The 20610-nt window shown below is 38.3% G+C and overlaps 1 protein-coding gene across 14 annotated transcripts in view, besides 1 other annotated feature; it reads right to left on the bottom strand.

Annotated features, from left to right (window-relative positions):
* The window catches only part of HIVEP2 (HIVEP zinc finger 2), a 194265-nt gene continuing 177505 nt past the window's right edge, over positions 3851 to 20610 (bottom strand). For all 14 annotated transcript variants that reach the window (NM_001438449.1, NM_001438450.1, NM_006734.4 and 11 more), the window contains 4 exons: positions 17181 to 17356; positions 13846 to 13947; positions 12154 to 13049; positions 3851 to 6313 (listed from right to left, as the gene is read on the bottom strand). In NM_001438449.1, coding sequence (NP_001425378.1) covers positions 5489 to 6313; positions 12154 to 13049; positions 13846 to 13947; positions 17181 to 17356 — 1999 coding nt within the window. In that variant the 3' untranslated portion in view covers positions 3851 to 5488. The remainder of the gene's footprint in view (positions 6314 to 12153; positions 13050 to 13845; positions 13948 to 17180; positions 17357 to 20610) is intronic.
* Positions 14227 to 14276: an enhancer, noted in NCBI's record as "active region_25179". NCBI's record gives its function as "activates an Ori minimal core promoter by ATAC-STARR-seq in GM12878 lymphoblastoid cells {active_cell/tissue: GM12878}" and the evidence as "EXISTENCE:reporter gene assay evidence [ECO:0000049][PMID:35858748]".

Here is a 20610-nt window from a genome sequence, read left to right on the forward strand (position 1 = left end):
GCCACCGTGCCCAGTGGCATTTTTTAATAGAAAGGTTTTCATTTAAAAATATTTTATTAATATGATTTTTAATAAATTAAGGAAATGTATGATCATTAATCATTTTATTTTAATTTTGCCAAAATAAGATTTTATTCACATCGAACTATATGGATTCTGCTTGTATTTCAACAATGTAACAACACTTGGAATCTACTTGAAGAATAAAACATGCCAGGGGCTGGGCGGGGTGCTCACGCCTGTAATCCCAGCACTTTGGGAGGCCAAGGCAGGCAGATCACTTGAGCCCAGGAGTTCTAGACCAGCCTGGCCAACATGGTGAGATCCCCATCTCTACAAAAGAAATACAAAAAATTAGCTGGGCGTGGTGGCGGGCACCTGTGGTCCCAGCTATTATGGAGGCTGAGGTGGGAGTGTCTCTTTGAGTCAGGGAGGCAGAGGTTGCAGATGGTGCCACTGCACTCCAGCCCAGGAAACAGAGCAAGATGCTGTCTCAAAAAAATAAAAATCCATGGCAGGGATCTACTGCAGAATCTGAAATACATTTATAGGCACTTAGTGAATGGAGAGAAAATCTGTTGATATGATTCATTTTGATAACCAACATGTATTTCTAGTCTTGAAATCCTGGCTTCAAGCAATCCTCCTAGATCAGCCTCCCAAGTAGCTGGAATTACAGGCACAAGTCAATACATCCTGTCAAATGTATATTTCTGAAGGTGGCCTTAGTTGTTGATAAGCAATGGATATGTATGCATAAAATGATCCATCTAGAGAATTCTAGAAAATAGAGTTTGTGTCTTCTTCTTGTTACTCTTTAGGTACTGTTCGGTGCCAAGTAGAATAATTTCCACCACTTTCCCTGTTCTTCAGTACTACTGCATAGCCAAGCTGGTTTATTGTTGCATATAAAGTCTGGGTAAGCATATGTTTCTCTACACTCGGAAATTAATGGGAGCTGATGCTCTGTATAATGTCAAATTGCCCCTGGGAAAAAAAACTGTACTGTGGCAAAGTCGATGCCACCATATTTAGTAATATATTTTAAACTAATAAAGACCATTTCCAGGGCAGAAATAAGCTTTGTTGTTTTTGTATGATTCTGAGCCCATTCAACCCAACAACTTTCACAGTACATTATTGTGATTGTAATCTTGATCTAAGTGAGAAGAGCATAAATAATGAGAAACTGTTCTTTAAGCAAACCTGGACAAAGAGGTGGGAGCTCATTTTTAGCCTTGATTCTGTAATGAACCACCTATTTCTCCTTGAAAACTTCACCTAACTTCTCTAGACTACAGGTTTTGGAAAAGATATTTGTAAATGACAGGTTAATTTAATAACCTCTAATTTATTATTTAATAATGAAGCTACTATTATGCTACTAAGGAAATAGTAACTAATAGTAAATAATTCCACAAATGCAGTTGATTTTTTCTCAGAAAATGATGTTCTAAAAGTTTTGTTTTCTAGAAATTATCTTGGGGAATATATTGAAAATCAAGTTCTCAAAAATATTAAACAATTTTGTATCATTAAGGCTCAGCAGATGAGATGTGCTGTCCTGTGAAGTATACCTTTGCTCGCCCCTATGTTCTTTGTCTACCTTTGGAAACCCTCAAACTTCCTCTTCTACCCCTTTATATACCCTGAGGAATTTCATCCAATTCAGTGCTCTCAGCTATGATGAAAAACAAGAACTGACAAACCAGTCTCCAGCTCTGGCCTCTCTTGTTTGAGGTTGAACTCCTTCAGAACTGCTAAGGAAAGCTCATCTCTTTACCAGCATTCTGTACAAATCCACTCTCTTTTGTGGCTGAATAATGCCACCCTCATTCTATTGTCCAGGTTAAAAACTCATCATCTTTAACTTCTCCATCTCTTTCATCCCAGCACCAAATCAGTCTAGCTATCAGCCATTCCTCTTCATTAAGCAAAACTGTCCCTTCTTTCTCCAGGTCTCCATCATTTGTTTGGATTGTTGCTGCTTTTATTTCCCTTATCTTCGCTGGTGCCACAGTATTTTATTTTTCCCAAAATAATGATAACGACAACAATTAGCAAGGCCACTTTATTGCTTCAATCCTTCCTTGGTTCTCCATTGCTTACAGGGCCAGACCTGTAGGCTGGATTAGGAAATTGGACTTTGATATGTGTTTCTAGCTTAACCATGTACTACCTTGCCACATACCTAGGGTGCCAGCTACATCTTGCTTTTTACACATTAATTGCTTTACACATCTCAGATCAGATCTAATATGCGTTTTCCCACTAATTTTTTATATTGCCCTCTCCTCTAGAATATAAACTCCATTAAGGCAAGGACTTTATCTGTTTTGTGCCATATTGGACACCTAGCACACACAAGAGTACTCCAATGTAGGTGATGAAAAGCTACGTTGAATGAATTAGTCAATTTATTGTTTCAAGGATCTGTTCTAAGGCTACCTCTGTGATGAAGCTTTTCTTCATTCTCAGCAGGATGATTGCTCTCTCCAGGATGATTTCTCTCTCCCTTTATGGTTATAAAACCAAATGTGCAACTATTTTAGCTCAAACATCATATTATCCACATTTACTTACATATATGTCTTTCCTATTTACTTGAGCTCCTTGGTGGCACGGATACTCTTTATTAATTCTAAATGCCCACCACCAGGCTGGGAGCATTAGGTTCACACCTGTAACCCCAGCACTTTGGGAGACTGAGGCAGGCAGATCACTTGAGGCCAGGTGTTTGAGACAAGCCTGGCCAACATGGTGAAACCCTGTCTCTACTAAAAATGCAAAAATTAGCCATGGTGGCATGCACGTGTAGACCCAGCTACTCAGGATGCTGAGATGGGAGAATCACTTGAACCTGGGAGGCGGAGGTTGCAGTGAGCTGAGATAGCACCACTGCACTCCAGCCTGGCCTGCAGTAAGACTCTCAAATAAATAAATAAATAAATAAATAAATAAATAAATAAAAATAAAAATAAATGCCCACTATCGTACCCAGTTCATAGTTGGCACTCAATAACTTTTATGAATGAATGAATGACTGAATAAATGAGTGATGAATTAGGTAGAGGAGGAAACAGAGTAATTTGATTTGGCCTGGGATCACCAACACACACACACACACACACACACACACACACACACGCACGCACACATCAATGAGGAATATGACACACAAATCACCCTACATAATCAAAAGATTCTTCTTGGTAAGAGACAGATATTAGAGTGTCTGTGTTGACCTTTAAATCACCTTTGTAAAACACAGTTTAAAAAGACAGTCTGGCTCATAAAAGCAAATAGGTACATTGTAAATCCACAAATTTGAGATTTTTATAGTGAAAATACTAATAGGTTTTGACTTTTAATGAGCTTCTGCTCTTATTATTAAAAAGATTCTACTCATTCTAATAAAAGAACTGTGATTTGTGGGTATCTTCTGATATATTTTAGTTGATTCTTAGCTTCAGCCACCTTAGCAAAAAGAAAGAAGAGGTTTCCCCAGTGGAATTTCAGATAAGTATGCATACTGCAAGAGAGGCAGAGGAAAAATGATAATTTGCTTTATTCATGAATCTGTTCAGATGCAACGTATGCTGCCCAGGCCCATGCTGAGGTTTGGATAAGTCTATTCCTAGGGCCCACACCTTGGTGACCACTATCTGTTCTAATCAGATAATCTATGGAAGCCAATGACTGTCTTCTCACTTGTTAAAAGCATTCACACTCAGGATGGGCAGAGCCTAGCAATTAAAAGCACAGATGGTATGTTGCTAGTATCAAAATTACTTTAGAAACAAAATTGGGAAATTAAAATGTAAAGCAACACATAAGAACTAGACACCTCAAGCATGTAATTGTATATTTATTTCTCTTTTTAAAGAACACTCCTTAATGTAATTCAATATACAAACTTGGTTTCACAGAATTATAATCCACTATATAGCACAAAGATAACCCAGATTGTATGTGTGCGTGCACACATGTGCGTGCCTGTGCACATGTTGCTGCACCCCTCCCTCTCTTTCACTCTTCTGGACCTACAAATGCTCTTCCCACCTTCAACACTAACCAAAAGCCATTGTGAGTATTACATACAACAGACATCCTCCCACGAGTTCTTTGCCCTTGAAAGATTCTTTTCCCCATTCCCCCTGAGATAGCCAGGAGTGTGACACTCTTCCCCTATGAAAAAGGGTAAGGTGACCTCCCCTAACACAGATGTTAACCCTGTTCCCATGTAAACCGGCTGACAGGAAGAGCTGGGGAGCAGGTCTCCATCTCCTTTTCCCCCTTCCACACCCAACCCTCAGAGTCCAAGTGCGACCCTCTGTGTAGCCTTAGTTCCAGTCACCATCCTGTGTAGCAAGAACTAAGGAGATTGCTAAGCCCAGGTCTTCTCCATGAGCAGCGCACAGCACTGCCTGCCAAGCCACCGGGCCGGCCGATAACCAAGCTCTACACAGTCCCATGTGCTTTGTCACCTTAATTTTTTAAAGACACCTAGCATAGGTCTGTGGCAACCTAGTGTCCAACTGAGTTACATAAAATTGTACCAGTGATGCACTTGTACATATTTACATGGGGTGGAATGTTTTCCCATATTTTTAGATGAGTATATAGATCAACATGTTCACATAAGACCAAATACTTTTAATATTATTTATAACTGATTTATAAAGCTTTGAAAAAACTCACAATAGCACATTGTTTACTTTAATGCTTTACGGTACTATCATTTTAAAATCACAATCAGCACTTAAGTTATAGTCAATCCAGCAAACAAGAGACAAAAAAATATACAAGAGTTAAGAACTGACTGATACATCCTTTATCTTTTTTTAACTAATGCATAAGTGCAGAATAAGATACTCTAGTTTAAATATCTTGTTTACAATGTACATTTTTGTTCTAGTTACGCAACAGTAAATCCCATGCTTCACATAGAAAAGCAATCCACAACATTAAGAAAAAATGTACAATTTATGAAACAAAGTAAATAAATATTAGTATTACAGAATCAGAGCTGTACATAAAAGCTGTTCAGTTTTAATCATATAAAAATATGTTTTAGTGCAACCTCACATATATATTGATGCTGTTTTGCTTTACATCATTTAGATCCAAGTGTCCAAAAAAGGAAAGAAATTACATTTATTACAAAGCAGATACACAAATTCTAAAATATGTACAAATTACTGCTAAAAAATGCTTATAAGAATATAAGCAAAGTAAAGAAAAGGCACAAACATCTGTACAATTTTAAAAGTACCAGACCCAATAGGTTAATTTCAAATTTTGTTTTGGTCAGGCTCATGATGACTTGTTAATTTACCTAATTCTTTTGATATAACAAAAGTATATATAATAGCAAACTACTGTAACTTAGGACAGGCATGCTATAAACTGGATTACCTCCATTTCTAGAAAAACAAAAACAAAAAAATGGGAAAATGTGGAAATGAAAGTCTCCATGCATCATAGATCAATGTAGCTGACTCTTTTCTGATGAAGGATCTTTGCTTTCCTCTGTGCTTGAAGATAATTCCTTGCTGCTGTGAAAGTCCAACTGCTTGTCATCCACACAACTCTTGCTGTAAAACGTGGAGTGAGCTAATGGAGTCTGTGATGTACCAAAATTGTCCTTTTCACCATCATGCAAGTCAGGGTGGGTGGCTGAGGTACAGGGCTGACCTGGCTCAGGTCTACTAAAGTGTCTAATGCTAACATGTGCACTTCCCAGGGGGTTCTGGTGGGGCTCCTGCACCCGCGCTGGCTGATCTGGCCCGAGCAGAGCTGCCTCTTCCGTGGCAATCCGGAGAGAGGCAATGGCTTTTGTACAAGTCTGTATATTTTCCTCCTGTTCCCGCTCTGTTGCGTTTAGGCTGTCTTCCGAAGTGCTCTGTTTCATCAACAGCCGAGGAGAGGAGGGAGTGCTAGGTGGACCAGATGACTGCAAAGCGTGAGGACCTCGCTTCTCATGCTGCTTAGAAAGCACATAGGGGTCCTTGGAGAAGGACTCCCCTGACGCGCCTTTCTTCTCCTCAAAGCCCTCCATTGGCAGGGGCAATGTGGGTGAAGGATGTAAACTGGAAAGGGCTGGCGGCATGGAGTGAACCATCTGGATCCCACCAACGGGCACCATGGGGATAGGGGCTCGCACTTGTTGCTGAGAGTGGAGTGGAAGATGACTGAAGACATAGTCATTAGGACCCTCAGGGAAAAGGCTGGAGCCTGGATGTTCATAAGCACCTTCTTGGTCTCCATAGAGACTGAAGTAAGGAACCTGAGGTAATCCTCTTCTTAAATTCTGCGCAGAGAAACAAAGAGAGCACAAAATTCAGAGCCTGCTACGCTTCATTCTTAGGTCAAGCTGTTGGATTCATTCACTCACCCATTCACACATTCACTACCTAGAGAGGCTTCAATACCTAATTCTTTGATCAAGTTTTCCTATTTCAAGACAAAAGAGATTTCTCTGTTCTCTTTTATAATCCTTGAATAAAGGTGTCGGCCTGTGAAAAGTTGCTTTTGTTTTTAAACAGCAAGGTGATAAAGCAGTCAGGGTGTTTTCCATTGGGTACAGAGACACATTTCAGCTCTGTTTTTTTCACAAGAGATAATGAAAAGAAATTAATGGATAATTGGCAAAAAAAAAAAGTTTACTGAGCAAAAAACACTAATAAACATTAATAATATTTTTTTTAATTCAAAAGGAAATAAAAAGATTACCATCTGTTGCTATACTGGACAGATTTTTAATATTTTTCTTAAGTGTTGATGAGTATATAATTGGAATGACAAGTCTGAAAATTGGCTTTTTTAAAAAGTTTTCCACAGAACAGATGACAAAACAGTGGTGAGGATCCACAAACTGGTTCCTCCAATGTGTAAGACATTGGTCTAAAGGAATGCATTCCTGCTAAGAGATACTCAATGCAGAAGGCCAGCTTCTCCATCCAATAACAAACCAAGTCCATTTAAGTCTTACATCAATAATAATTTTTTAAAGGAAACTATCCATCATAGAAGTAGTTAACATTATTTCAGACAGTTAACAACTTATATTCGACTCTATACTGTGAACCAAAGATGACTGCATCTTAATTCTTTTGTTCATATTATCATTTCCACCTCAATATCTTCTTGGCAATCAATGAATTAAGGATGCTTAAAATGTTCAGCCAGAATTTCAGATTTCATAGTCCTAGTCCTGAAAATGGAGAATTTATTTTCTATACTGTTTCTGTAGTGAAATACAACTTAGATTGTCAGATTATCAGGTTTTAATATTATCATATTTTAATTAATGTGATTCATTCTTTAATGGATTGTCATCTAAAAAGGACTTCATTTATTTTTCTATTTTTTGAGAACCAAAGATAGATAGATAGATATAAACCCATACAGTATGGTAGTAGTCCAGGATAGAGCCAAAGAAACTGTTCTATTTCAAGAGTTTCAGTTCTAAAACTCAAGGTATGCTCTGCAGCATTAAAGATTCATCCAGTTCTATCTAGATTATGATTTCTGCTACTCTCTAAGATGCTTAGCCCTTACCCTTCTCTGTGATATATCATATGCAAGCTGGAAACATGGATTCTCCTGAAAGTGTGAGTGAAACGGTGCAATCATTAACACTATCGTTACCACGACCTCATAAGCTGGGAAAGGTGGGAATTTTACGGTATGAGAATCATTTAAATTCTGCACATAGACAAAATCCCCCTTGTATTTAATCAGGTTTGGAAAAGGCACGTCTCCTTCATCAAACACCAGTTTGGGAGGAAGACCTGTAATGCCTACAGTAACGATCTTTGAAGATAATCAAGTACGTTTTCTTTTAATCACAGCAATCACAGATTCAAAGTTTAAAATAAAACCGAGCTTGGTTATTTTTCTGTTTTACTTCTGGCTGCTATTCCATGACCTCCATTGCATACAACCAGTCAGAATGTGGATCTGTGGGGAAACCAAGGAAGTGGAACAGAAGTCAGAGAGAGAGAGAGATGTCCTATTACGTAAACTGACTTGAGATCCCCAAATCCAGGCTGACAAATGGAGTCATGAATTGTCCTCTAAAACTACAATAATACTCAGCATGTTCTAAATCCAATAAAATCTTATTAGTGCTACTAATGAAAGTTTCAAATTCAGCCCTTCACTGATTTTAACCACAGAGCTACGTGTACAAGTAGAATTTCTACCATGTGGCCACTTCCACTGCTCCAAGCCCCACCAGGCATTTCTACACATCCTCTCTCCTCTCATTCACCCCTTCTTCATCCTCCAAAGAAACTCCCAATAAGTTTTCTCTACTTTGGTTTTTACTCCATTTGCAATCCTATTGTTTTGTAATTTGGGCCTTATAAATGTGGTGGACAAACTTCCATCTTACTTAAATCTCAGTAAGAAAATTTTGTCGTGGAAAAACAAATAGTGAATTCAAATGTAGATTATGTTAAGTGCATATGTATGTATAGACACATATACACATATGTACAAATGTACATACACAGATATCTATATACACATCTATACGCCATGTACCAGATCTATTACCCTACGCATCTCTTCAACAGTATGGCAGTAGGGACCTCTAGATGCAAATGATGAGAGGGAGGTAGAAGAGCAAGAGCCTCCTTGGGGGCAGCAGGGAGCAGAGAAGGAGAAGTGACCCATTTGTGCTCAGTCACTGGCTGGGGCTGCAGGGAGAGCATGGCTTTGGCTTCAAAACAGTCCTGTCCTGAAGGTGCTGACATGCCAGCAGGAGGCTTGTCTGCCCACTACATTCCTTACAGCTGAATGGCACGTTCTTTCAGGAACAAAAATCTGCATGGGCCACCTCCCTGGCTGCCAGAAACAAATTAAAAAACTGTGGTCAAGAGGTTAAGTGACTCGCCCAAGATCACACAGATAACAAGGGATAGGAATGAATGTTGACTGTTTCCCTAGACACAATCTTCATCTACACTACATACTGAGGGCCTGGACACACCTTTGTTTCTCTTCCTGCTACCTATCTACAAAAGCTTTAAAATGGAAAAGGAAATTTATTTATCAAAAAAAAAAAGATAAGGCCACAGCCATAATATTATTTCATCCTCAACCTCGAACCATGCGTAGTAGACCCTCAAAAATTCAGTAGATACTGAATAAATGGATAAAAGATACCTTATCTATCTATCTATCTATCTATCTATCTATCTATCTATCTATCCGTCCATCCATCTGTCTTAAAATTAAAACTAACAGGGGCACTGGAGCACTTCTACCTCCTTCTCATCATTTGTGTCTAGAGCTCCTTACTGCCACACTGTTGAAGAGATGAGTGGGGTAATAGAACTGGTATATAGATGTATATATAGATGTCTGTGTAGGTACATTTGTACATATGTGTATATGTGTGCATACATATATATGCACATACACTTAACACAATCTGCATTTGAATTCATTCATTTCTTCCCAACCTGTGTTGGCTATGATCACCATTACTCCAAACGCAGGCAGAATATGACTGGGCTGTAAGGTCCCTTCACACCACAGTCAGTGTCCTGTGGTGTGAGAAAGCATAAAGTGGGCAGTGCTTGGGACGAACTGTCCCTACATCAGGGAGGATTCCCAGATCTGTTCCCTCATACCATGTGAACAATGCAGCAGGCTATACATCCTCTAAAGAGAATTAAACTGGGTAACAGGCCAAAAGCATCATAAATGATAAAGTTTAATAACACTATGAAATATAACCATGATCAGCCAGGTGCGATGGCTCACACCTGTAATCCCAGCACTTTGGGAGGCCGAGGCAGGCGGATCATGAGGTCAAGAAATCGAGACCATCCTGGCCAACATGGTGAAACCATGTTTCTACTAAAAATACAAAAATTAGCTGGGTGTGGTGGCACGTGCCTATAGGCCCAGCTGCTTGGGAGGCTGAAGCAGAGAATTGCTTGAACCCAGGAGGTGGAGGTTGCAGTAAGCCAAGGTCGTGCCACTGCACTCCAGCCTGGCGACAGAGCGAGACTCCATCTCAAAATAATAATAATACCCATGATCAGATATTTAAAAAAAAATGAAACAAAACAAAAACACATCAAAAAAACTTGTACAAACTCAGTGACTACTAAAACTCATCTCTCTCTAACTTTCTGGGCATGTATCTAAAAATCAGATGAACTCCCTTAGTCCACTCTTCCAATTCCTTTGCCTAACTTGACTGTGGGTTGCTATAAATTTTTACAACCACAGCATGTTTGCGATAAAGGCTTACTTTTTCTGACTGAAGAATCGCATGTTTGCAGTTGACTGAACATGCACCACTGTTTCACAAATGCCACACTCTCAATCCACCTGGCCAATGCTAGAACACAAGCTGCAGGGATGGCAGGGAGAGGCTCATCTAACACACTCTGCCAGCATCACTGCGTGTATACCAGAGAAAGCATGTGTCATCCCAGACTTGGTATCCCATGATCCAGGAGATTTACAGTTCTCTATTCATGCTGCAATGGCATAAACTGCAGAAGATCCCTCTTTCCTACTTTTGCTAAGGCACCAAAACCTGTGGAAATGTATCTCTTTTTCTTATTAGCTTGCTAATTTGTTAGCTTGGTAAACAACATCCCAATTGCTATATATGTTTCTGCAGGAATTGCTTCATCAAGATGAAGTTGGTACCAGACTTGTGAAAAGATGGTGCTGGGGATGGGGACAGGAATGCAGCAGCTTTCCTAAAGTGAAAAAATGACAGGCTGAGCTCAGGATTCAGGGTGGTGGAAGGTGATGAGAGGGAGAAAATTGGCTGCCAGGGCAGTGATAAAACAGAGCTGGGAGCTGGCAGTGTCTCCTCTGGCTGTGAAGGATGGTGCTGATGCACTTGACACAGAGATCCGGAGCAAGGGAGTACAACAAAGAGTAGAAACCAGGAAATCAAAACACATTCAAGGCAGACAGATTCCAAAGGTATCATGCCTCTGTCTATGCTAAGTGCATGCTTTATTCATTTTTTAAAATCCTACACAAACTGAAAGAGACATCACAGTCTACTGAGCCGTGGAATTAGGCAGGACAGGTGCTTTTATATGAATTTGTATTAAACCTACTGCTTAAATGTAATCCATGGTGGTTACTGTTATCTTCACTTATAATGAAGGCATATCATAGAAATCTCTGCACATTCTCACTTAGCTCTCCTGATTTCCCGTTCTCCTTGGGCCCACGCTTCCACTGAGCAAGTGCACTTGATAGTAGTAATGGCAAGAAAAGCAGACAGGCTCATGTCTTTGATTTATAAACATGCCGAGTGTGTCATTCTCTCCTCTCCCTGGCCCTGACCAGTTTCACATGTCCCCTCATGATGGGCAAGGTAGAGTTTATTAAAAAAAGGAGTTTTTGAGGCCAGGCGCAGTGGCTCATGTCTGTAATCCTAGCACTTTGGGAGGCCGAGGCAGGCAGATCACTTGAGTTCAGGAGTTCGAGACCAGCCTGGCCAACATGGTGAAACCCTGCCTCTACCAATAAATACAAAAATTAGCCAGGTGTGGTGATACACGCCTGTAGTCCCAGCTTCTCGGGAGGCTGAGATGGGAGAATCGCTTCAACCTGGGAGGCGGAGGTTGTAGTGAGCCAAAGTCGTGCCACTGCACTCCAGCCTGGGTGAAAGAGTGAGACCCTGTCTCAAAAAAAATAAATAAAATAAAAATTTTAAAAATAAAAGTTTTGGAAAGTCAAGGTTAACAGCTGAATCAGAATCCTTACCTGGTGATGAGTTATATAAGTGATGCCTAAATGTCCCTGTGAGTGTATGTCCATGCAGTCATGGCATTCTAAAGGTTCATCTTTTTTACTTACAAAAAGGCTTCAGCTTACGTCTATCATTAGTTAAGTTTAGAAAGCCTTCAGAAAGGCCTCACCTGTTCCCACTGGGAATGCACTGCTGCTCTGATGCAATACTACACTTTAGGTAATGCCACAGCCATGTTACTGACAATAGCATATGACAAAAATGTCTCCCCGCTATTTTCATTAGCCAGATTCACTCCACCCATGACAGATACCCATGTTCTACTAAACTTCACACCAGTGCATTATCAGGAGGACCAATGTGCTTCCACTTATGTATTAGAAAGAAAAGTGGATTATACTTACAGGAGGCCCCAATACAATTGGCTCTGCTTGCAAATACTGTCCCATGGACAATGGTGGGTTATGGTATAAAGCCCTTCTGGGAGATGGCGCTCTTATTGTGGTCATGTATCTTCTCTCTCTTCTAGGAGAGAGGTCTCTTCTTGCTGTGATATCTTTCCCAGGAGACACTGGCCTCCTTGGAGACAAATGCCTTCTTGGTGAAACATCTCTTTGGGACATCTCTCTTCTCAATGCAGCTTCCTTTCTTGGTGAAAGATGTCTCATGGGTGACAGATCTCTCCTAGGTGATAAATGTCTCCTGGGAGATAAATCTCCTTTGGGTATCAGATACCTCTTTGGTGAATTATCTCGACAGGGTGAAGAATCATATCCTGGAGAGGAATGGTGGCTTGAGGGTGAGAAGTCCCTGGGAGAGGAGCTTGGCTCTGAAGGTAGCATGCACTCCTCATCCATACAACTAGGTATGTCCAATCTGTCTTTGTCTGGTTCTGAGTCCGTACTTTTGCTCTGGAATAGCCTCTGGTATTCTGTCATCTGGGTATCTTCACATGAATCACTGGGTGTCATAAGCTGAGTAACTCGAATACTTGGCAAAGTAACCAAATAGCTGATCAACGAAGAATGTCCCAGGGAACTATCTGAAGGAACCCCGTGGGGTACGGCGCCAACATTCACAGGCAAGGAGGAGAATCTAGGAGGCTGAGGACTGGTGCTTCTTGATCTTGTTTTTGGTGTTAAATCTCCCTGGTCGTCAAAGTCATCTTCATCTTCATCATCATCATCATTATCATCTCCATCCTCACCATCTGATTCCTCAGCATCGGAGAACTGATGATCAGTTGAAATGCTGGACATGCTATGCTTCTCTGCTGCTTTGTGCAAATCTTCCAAATTTTCTGAAACAATTAAACAAAGATAATGGAGATCAAGATCCAAATATCAAGGTTAGGATCTTATTTAAGCCTCATTTCTTTCTAAACGCTTTTCCCAATCCCTAGTGCCCACAGATAGTTATGTCTGAGAACTCCTATAAAATGAGGCACTTACCTGTGTGACCCTGCGTTCATTCTATCTTCTTGTATATCTATTTGTTTTCATCCCCAACTTACAAGAAAGATTCCATAGTAGGACTTTATATCTCAGACATCATCCCACTCACAGAAAACCCTCAACAAATGAGCATGGATAATGTTAATTATGATGCTAGAGGAGAAAGAAAGGCAACAACCTGTCTCTGCAAGCTCAGGTACAAACGTATGTCTAAGTGATGTAACTCAGGAGGTCTGGCCAACCTTAATGATGTTTGTTTGCTAGTTTATTTGTTTTCCTACTGGGTTTCTTCTTAACTTGAATAATAATACATTAAAATGCTTTTCAAATTCCCCAAAAAGCCTCATAAAATCTAATTTGCTATCACAAAGCAAGTGCAATTCTATTCCCTTCATAGAAGGCTCTAAATATAAGTATTTTCAAAGTAAGGCCTTTTTTGCCCTCGGAGTCAAAACTGAAATGCATTTCTTCTCAGTAGATTTCAAGCAATTCAATGTGTCAGTTTTATTTTCTATATTTAGTATTTAATAAAATGAAAAGTGATCACTTTTTAAAAATATCTAAACTTATTTTACTACCTCAGCCACAGAGCTCCACTGTGCATAATGAAGAGGTCTGTCAACTCATTTATGACATACACACCTGCTTCCTCAGTTTCTGTATCATCCACCGATGTCATTGAGACTCCCAATTCCAGGCATTTTTTCATGTGTGCTTTAGATTTCATATGCTTCGTTAGGTTTCCTTGAAAATGTAGCAAAAAAAAGAGAGAAATTAATTGGTTATCAAATTAATAACTGCTGATAGCTGCTCCAAATTCAATGTGAAATGAACTAATTTTATTAAATTCATCATGTAACACAGATTTGTTTCTACCCACTACCCCTTGTTTCAACCTTAAGAAGAATAATCTGGTCTTTGAAGATATCAATCCCTGAGAGCTTTGGCCCAATCTCAGATATTCTTTATTCTAGAAGATATGTGGAAGTCCAGGCTCACATCTTTTCAAGAGTAGGCTCAAAGCAAGACTAGAAATCCCAGGCTTTTCTGCCTGAGAAGGGACCTCATATCTACCCAAATACACCAGCCTCCTGGGACTCCACAGAAACAGGAAACGCAATCTGGCCACACACCTCAGAGATACTTCAGAATGAAATATTCTCAACACACCCACTGGGCCCCTGACCTTCTGTGACTGATCAGGTACAGAGTAACCTCCAAGGATCTTCACCATTCAGAAGAAAAATACATACAAACTAATGTGAGGGCCAACCTTGTCAGTGCTCTGAAAGATCCATACAAATAATTAGCTAACTACTCATAGGGAGCATTATTCCCAGTATTTAGCATCTATCTGTCTGGCATATGTTAGCAAAAGTTATGACAGCAATTCCTAAAATTCTGGAGCAGCAACATTCCCTCTTTACTTATCTTCAGGCTCCTATCACACTAACAAAAAAGAAAGGTTTCATGCTGAATATGTTATAATGATAATGGCATATACAATTATATGTGTATATACATGTGTGGATATAAATTATATATATAATTTGTATAACTGCTTTATGAAATGTGAGAAATTTTGAAAACATTGTTCCAATCCTCGTTGACCCAGGATCTACAGAAGAATGCACACACACACACACACACACACACACACACACACACACACATACATATAAATTATATGCCATATAACTTATCAAAAGAGATTCAGGAACTAATTCAGTTGTAAGGCGCCTTTACATCACTTCAGTGAAAATAGCCATAATGTTATCTGTGCCCTTGACAACGCTTTAGCAATGTACCAACAAATACTTTAAGAGAAGGCTCTGTGAAATCTCCGTGGAAACTCAGCCTGCTAGCACAGTTTATTCCTCTGGTAGGGGTGTTCAGCTTGCTGTTCATGTAATATATGAGCCACAGTTAAAACTGGGACACTGTTGTTTATTATTTTACTCATATTGCTTTATTATTTACTTATTGCTTATATACTTATAAATTTTACATGCTGTTTTGAATAATTCCAAACAGAAATATTTCCAGGCCCCCACTCCTCCTATTTATCAAAACTTATATCTACCATTTTTTAAAGAGCCCAAAAATGTTATAGACATATCAAGAATGCTTAAATCTAGAAAATTAATGAAATGTATCTACAAATTAATAAAAATCATCACTTGTGCCAGAGTGCAAGTACGCTATGGATGTGTATAGGTATAGATGCTAAGCATATCGGGATAGTTTATTTAGATTTTAGTATGTGTTTCTTTCTCCTACATTTTTCTCTCCATTCCAAGGATAGTCAGGCTTTAGACTCCCATCTTCAGAATAGGTCTGTAGCTAGAAATCTGGATCTGAAACAATTCTACCATGGCTTTAGTTTGTTAAAGTCATGAGCTGCAGAAGTAATGTATAAGGACAAGGAGAGGGAAGGAGAGTGGCGGGGGAGGCCCCTGAAGAAGTGGCACAGACAAGGAGAAGGGATTGGTCATGCAAGGGCGTTCCATCTGTGCTCAGACGACAATGTGGGTTTGGACAACAGGCATTTCAGTCGGAGGTGAAAACTGGCAGGGTTTCCCAGGATGTTTTGCTCATTTTAAGATTCTGAGACATTTGCACATTCCCAAAGGGTGACAAGGAAACTCCAATAATGACCAAGAATAAATTATTTCCTTCAGGAGATGATGATTCAGAGGCAGACTTAATTTGATTTTTAAAAATATCTAGAGATGTGTCATTTCTTCATCCAGTTTTTCACACAACTATACCTGCAGCAAACTCATATGCCCAGTGAAGATATGTATCATTCGTAATGACTATTGAATTGCAATATTCCCTGAAACCAAAGTTTTTATTTTCTTATCTCCTAGGGAATCTCTTAGTAAAGTTCTGTATAAAAGGCTTGATTGTGCAGAGGTGAGTGGTATTTAAAAGGCCATATGATTATTTTTTGAGACACAAATGAACACATACTTTTTTCAGCTTCAAATGAGGCAATTCTATTACATAGATCTTTTTAATAAAAGAGAAACAGATATGTTGAGAGGCTACCCATTTACACTTCTAGCAATTTAGGATTTTCAGCTATAAAAGAATATAGGTATACATTTCTCTACCAAAGATAATTTTACTTGGTATTTCTTTTTCTTGAATGAGCAGATTAATCAATATGAAAATTTAAAGTGTTGAGGGGGTGCCTATAGTATCCACTAAACCTAAGGTAAAACACACTTCTGCAAAAGTCGAACAACCTCTAATTCACTACTGTTTGTATTCTGAGACTACCAGACTTATGAACATTTTCATAATATTATAAAAAATAAAAATATAACCGAAGCAACTTCCTTGAGTAAAATATTTTTACATAAATCTACCTGTTAAAAACAGATTTTAAAAAAAAATTTTAAGGCAAGTCCTAGTTTTATAAGACTAACAGTTATGTACTGAGAATCAGAAATTGTCTCTGTGCTGATAAAAACAGGGAACACAAGCTATCAAATTTCTATGCATAATTAATGCAACTGTGGATGAAGGCACCCACCTGGGAGTGTGTGGGTCTCTACATTATTTATAATCTTGAAACTGACCAAGAGCACATGTTTTCTTCCCAGCTGCTGCCTTGCTTCTCTAATACCACTGCATGTGCAGGATTTCAATACTGGTGTAAATATTATCTAGACCACATAACATTTCCAACATGAAGTAATAGCTATCCAGACAATTTGTAGCCACTTCCTTTGGAGACAACTGGCCTGGACCTATGTCTACTGCTCTTAATTAAGTCATAAAAGGAGCCTCACAGTCTCACATACATCCTTTGATCACTTACTTGAGGGAGAAAATATATTTCGTGGAATCATATTTTCACAAACAAACTATCTTTATTGTTGATGAAGGTTAGTTATAAAATAGCACTCAGAAATCTAAGTAGCCATAGAGAAGTATTTTTCCTCTCAAAAAAATCAGACTTGTACCTTTCGTTTTGAAGGCAAAGTTACATAACTTGCATACATAAGGCCGAACATCAGTATGGGTACGGATGTGTTTTTTGAGCATGCTTGGCTTCTTACAGCGAATCCCACATTCTTCACAAATGTACTTTCCCCGGCCACGTCCTCTGACATATACATAATCTTCATTCGATTTGTACCTGTTTTAAAAAGAGGGAATCCAGTGTGTTTTCAAATATTCTTAGCATGCTATATATTAAAGCAAAAGCTAATTATTTGCACGGCAAAGTTTTATGAGGGTCTTTTGCAGACAATTATTCAACTTTACTTCTACGAAGCCTGTGAAATTTATGCAGTAAATGGCTGAAAGAACTAGATAATAGATTTGGCACTGTAAACAAAATGTAATGCTCCATGGAATTCAAAATGGAATTGGCTTCACTATTACATGTGAATTTATAGAGTTGGGAAGTAGATGTTCAAAATGACTTATGTAAACCTCAAAGAGCTGCAGACCTTTGGACTGGATTCTAGTATGGCCTCCAATCAAGGGACATACAAAAAGCATACCAACATGTTCATCATGTATCTTTTGTTAACATTACATCATCTAAGATGTACATGTACAAACATACAACCCTCTAAATTTGCTAAATTAAGTATAACTGATAATAGAATTCTTCATTGCAAGTTCCTACTCTATTTTTACAATCCTGGCACGAGAGTGCCTCAGAAATTTCTAGTTTACACAGGGTGAGCTCAGCTCACCAACTGTTGTCTACAGATTTGATCTGCTCTTCCCAAAGACCATGAATCTGTAATAATGTGGAGTCTAAATTTCAACTAGCTTCTTCAAGGTAGTTACATAATGAAAACTAGAGATTCTATTTTTAATCAAATTTGCATTTGTTTCCAGAAGGGTTTCATAGAGATGTTTGAAAGGATATCTGAGGTCATCTTGCTTAATCAAATCGGCTAGAAAAACAGTCTTAGGTATTTTCTTTGATAATCAAGGGAAGAAATCTACCCAATGCTCAACCATTCCATTTTAGAATACAATAAAACATAATTTGTCATAAGATATAGTAGTAGTATACGGACTAATTCAATGACTGTCATTATCTCTTAAGTCAAAGCTAGGCTAGAATTTTGGGTCTAATGTTATTTTTGGAAAGACGCTCCATTTGGGGAGTTCTTTTCATAACTTCCAAAGGTAAACTGACATGCAAAATGCCCTAATCCACTGTGGATTTAGTTAAAGGCACTAAATTTACAGTTTTTTTACATTCTAAGAGCATTGCAAACTTCCTCATTTTATCCTAGCTAATCCACAAACAGGAATAAAGGCAAGTTTAACTTCAGTCATCCAATCTATTGAAATAATTTTAAGAAAGGAAATCCATCCACATATTTAAACAGCAACTCTGTTACGGATTCACATCTAATCTTAACGTTATCTACTTTTTGGTCAGTACCAATCCAGATGAGAGTTAAGTAGAAACTATTCAAAACTATGAATAATCAATTTTGCATGTCTTCCGTTCCTTTAAATTTCCCCCCTTTTACCAGGAATTTTGACTTCCACTTGTTCTTCAAAATTATTTTGAATTTTATCTTTGTCTTTTGCAATAAAGTAGAAAAAACCCTAAAGATGCAAATGTCTTTCACCTTTAAATTTCACTATTCTCTGCCCCTAACTAGATGAAATTGCTTAAGACATATAGACTAAAACAAATACTTTTGTACAAAGCTAATTTTCTTCAAGGAAGGATACTTCAAGCTTACTATAGCCTGCCATCATAGTGATGGGAAATGCATTTTATCATCAAGCAGTATAATTTTATTTTCAATGTCTTAGCTGATTAACTTGCTTCCAGAATGAAAATACAGTAAAATTCTGTATAAAATATAATGATGTATTAGAGAAACTGGTATAAATAATATATCATACAACAGTTCTACAGGCCCATGAATCTACTTGATAAGGTAATTGATGGATTTTGAAAAACATTCAAAGCTGTGTTTAACTAAATTATTGAATTTATTATTAAACCTATCAGTTAGACAATATACACTTACAATTTTGGTCAGTAATACTTTTTATTTTTTTAGCTATCACTTTGCAATTGCCAAAATAAGAGGAGGTAACACAAGGTTTGGAAAAAACACTTGGTCACCACTGGGCAGAAATTGGGCCACAGATTAAGAAGTAATGGGACACAGCCCATAAAACGGGGCAATTAAAGGAGGAGGAAATGAAATATGGGCACAATCCTTTTGGATCACCAAAACACAGCAATAAAATGTTCACATACGCTTTTTCACTTGTGTCCTTCGTTAGTGGAGATGGGCTCCCCAAAGCATACAGTAATTGTGGAGTTCTCGCTAATCTATTGGTGCAAGTACACTGCTATGAAGGCTGCTGAATGTGAGAGGGTTGATTCAGTCACAGGGACCTCTCAGTCTCTGAGGAGAGATAAAATCTATATTTCTCTCGTTTGTGTTAAAAGATGGGGGATGTCAAAAAAATATCAAGACAAGCTTCATGACTACATACAATTGTGGTTTTAGTGGTGAAAATGCTAGATATCCAAAGAGGGCAAAACCTAAGGGACAACCAAATAGAATAATCCATCTCCAAACCGGTAATGCTAGGTGAGAAATGGATATTTCATCTCACTGAACATTCCACATTTTATAGTCAAACAAGTAACATTATTTCCTCCAAATATAATTGGAATAAAGTCATGCCCATGAAGATATGTAAATAATAGATTTGTTGTAGAGATAAGGCTAATTACATCATAATCTCCAAAATGTGGTTAGCACGCTTCAAAATTTTTAAATTTTAGAAGCATAAGTGTAGGCTTTTCCTTCTATGTGACTGGATGAAAGATACATTTCTATCAAAATCTAAAACAAGACATTACATATGTGTAATTTTTCTTAACTATACAAATAACAAAGTCTTTGAACCTTATTACTTGAGTTTCTATGACTCAGGACTCAAGATTTGAAAAGAAATTCCTAAATACAGAGAAAGTGTCATACACCAGAGAAGACTGAAAAGGCAAGACAACTGAGTGCAATGTGGTACCCTGACTTGGATCCTGGGACAGAAAAGGATATTGATGGAACTGGTGAAATCCCATTAAAGCCTCTAGTTTAGATAATAAGAAAAACAAACAAACAAATTAACTAGTTCTGAAGATTATACATGATTGTGCATGATCTGATTTTTGTAAGCATACAATAAAAATATGTCCGTCAATAAAACAAATACCTATAAAATGATCAAAGAATGAACAAACTTAGATGACATCAAGTGTCCACCAATTTAGTAGATTTCATAATAAATTAGAGGGGTGAAAATTTAAGGAAGAGGCTTGAATGATATCCATTAGGGACATTTTCTTGCAAAGCAAATCCCAAAGGCAAGGGCATGAACTTATGA

The sequence above is a fragment of the Homo sapiens genome, chromosome 6, assembly GCF_000001405.40.
Source record: "Homo sapiens chromosome 6, GRCh38.p14 Primary Assembly".
In the NCBI taxonomy this organism is placed as follows: domain Eukaryota; kingdom Metazoa; phylum Chordata; class Mammalia; order Primates; family Hominidae; genus Homo; species Homo sapiens.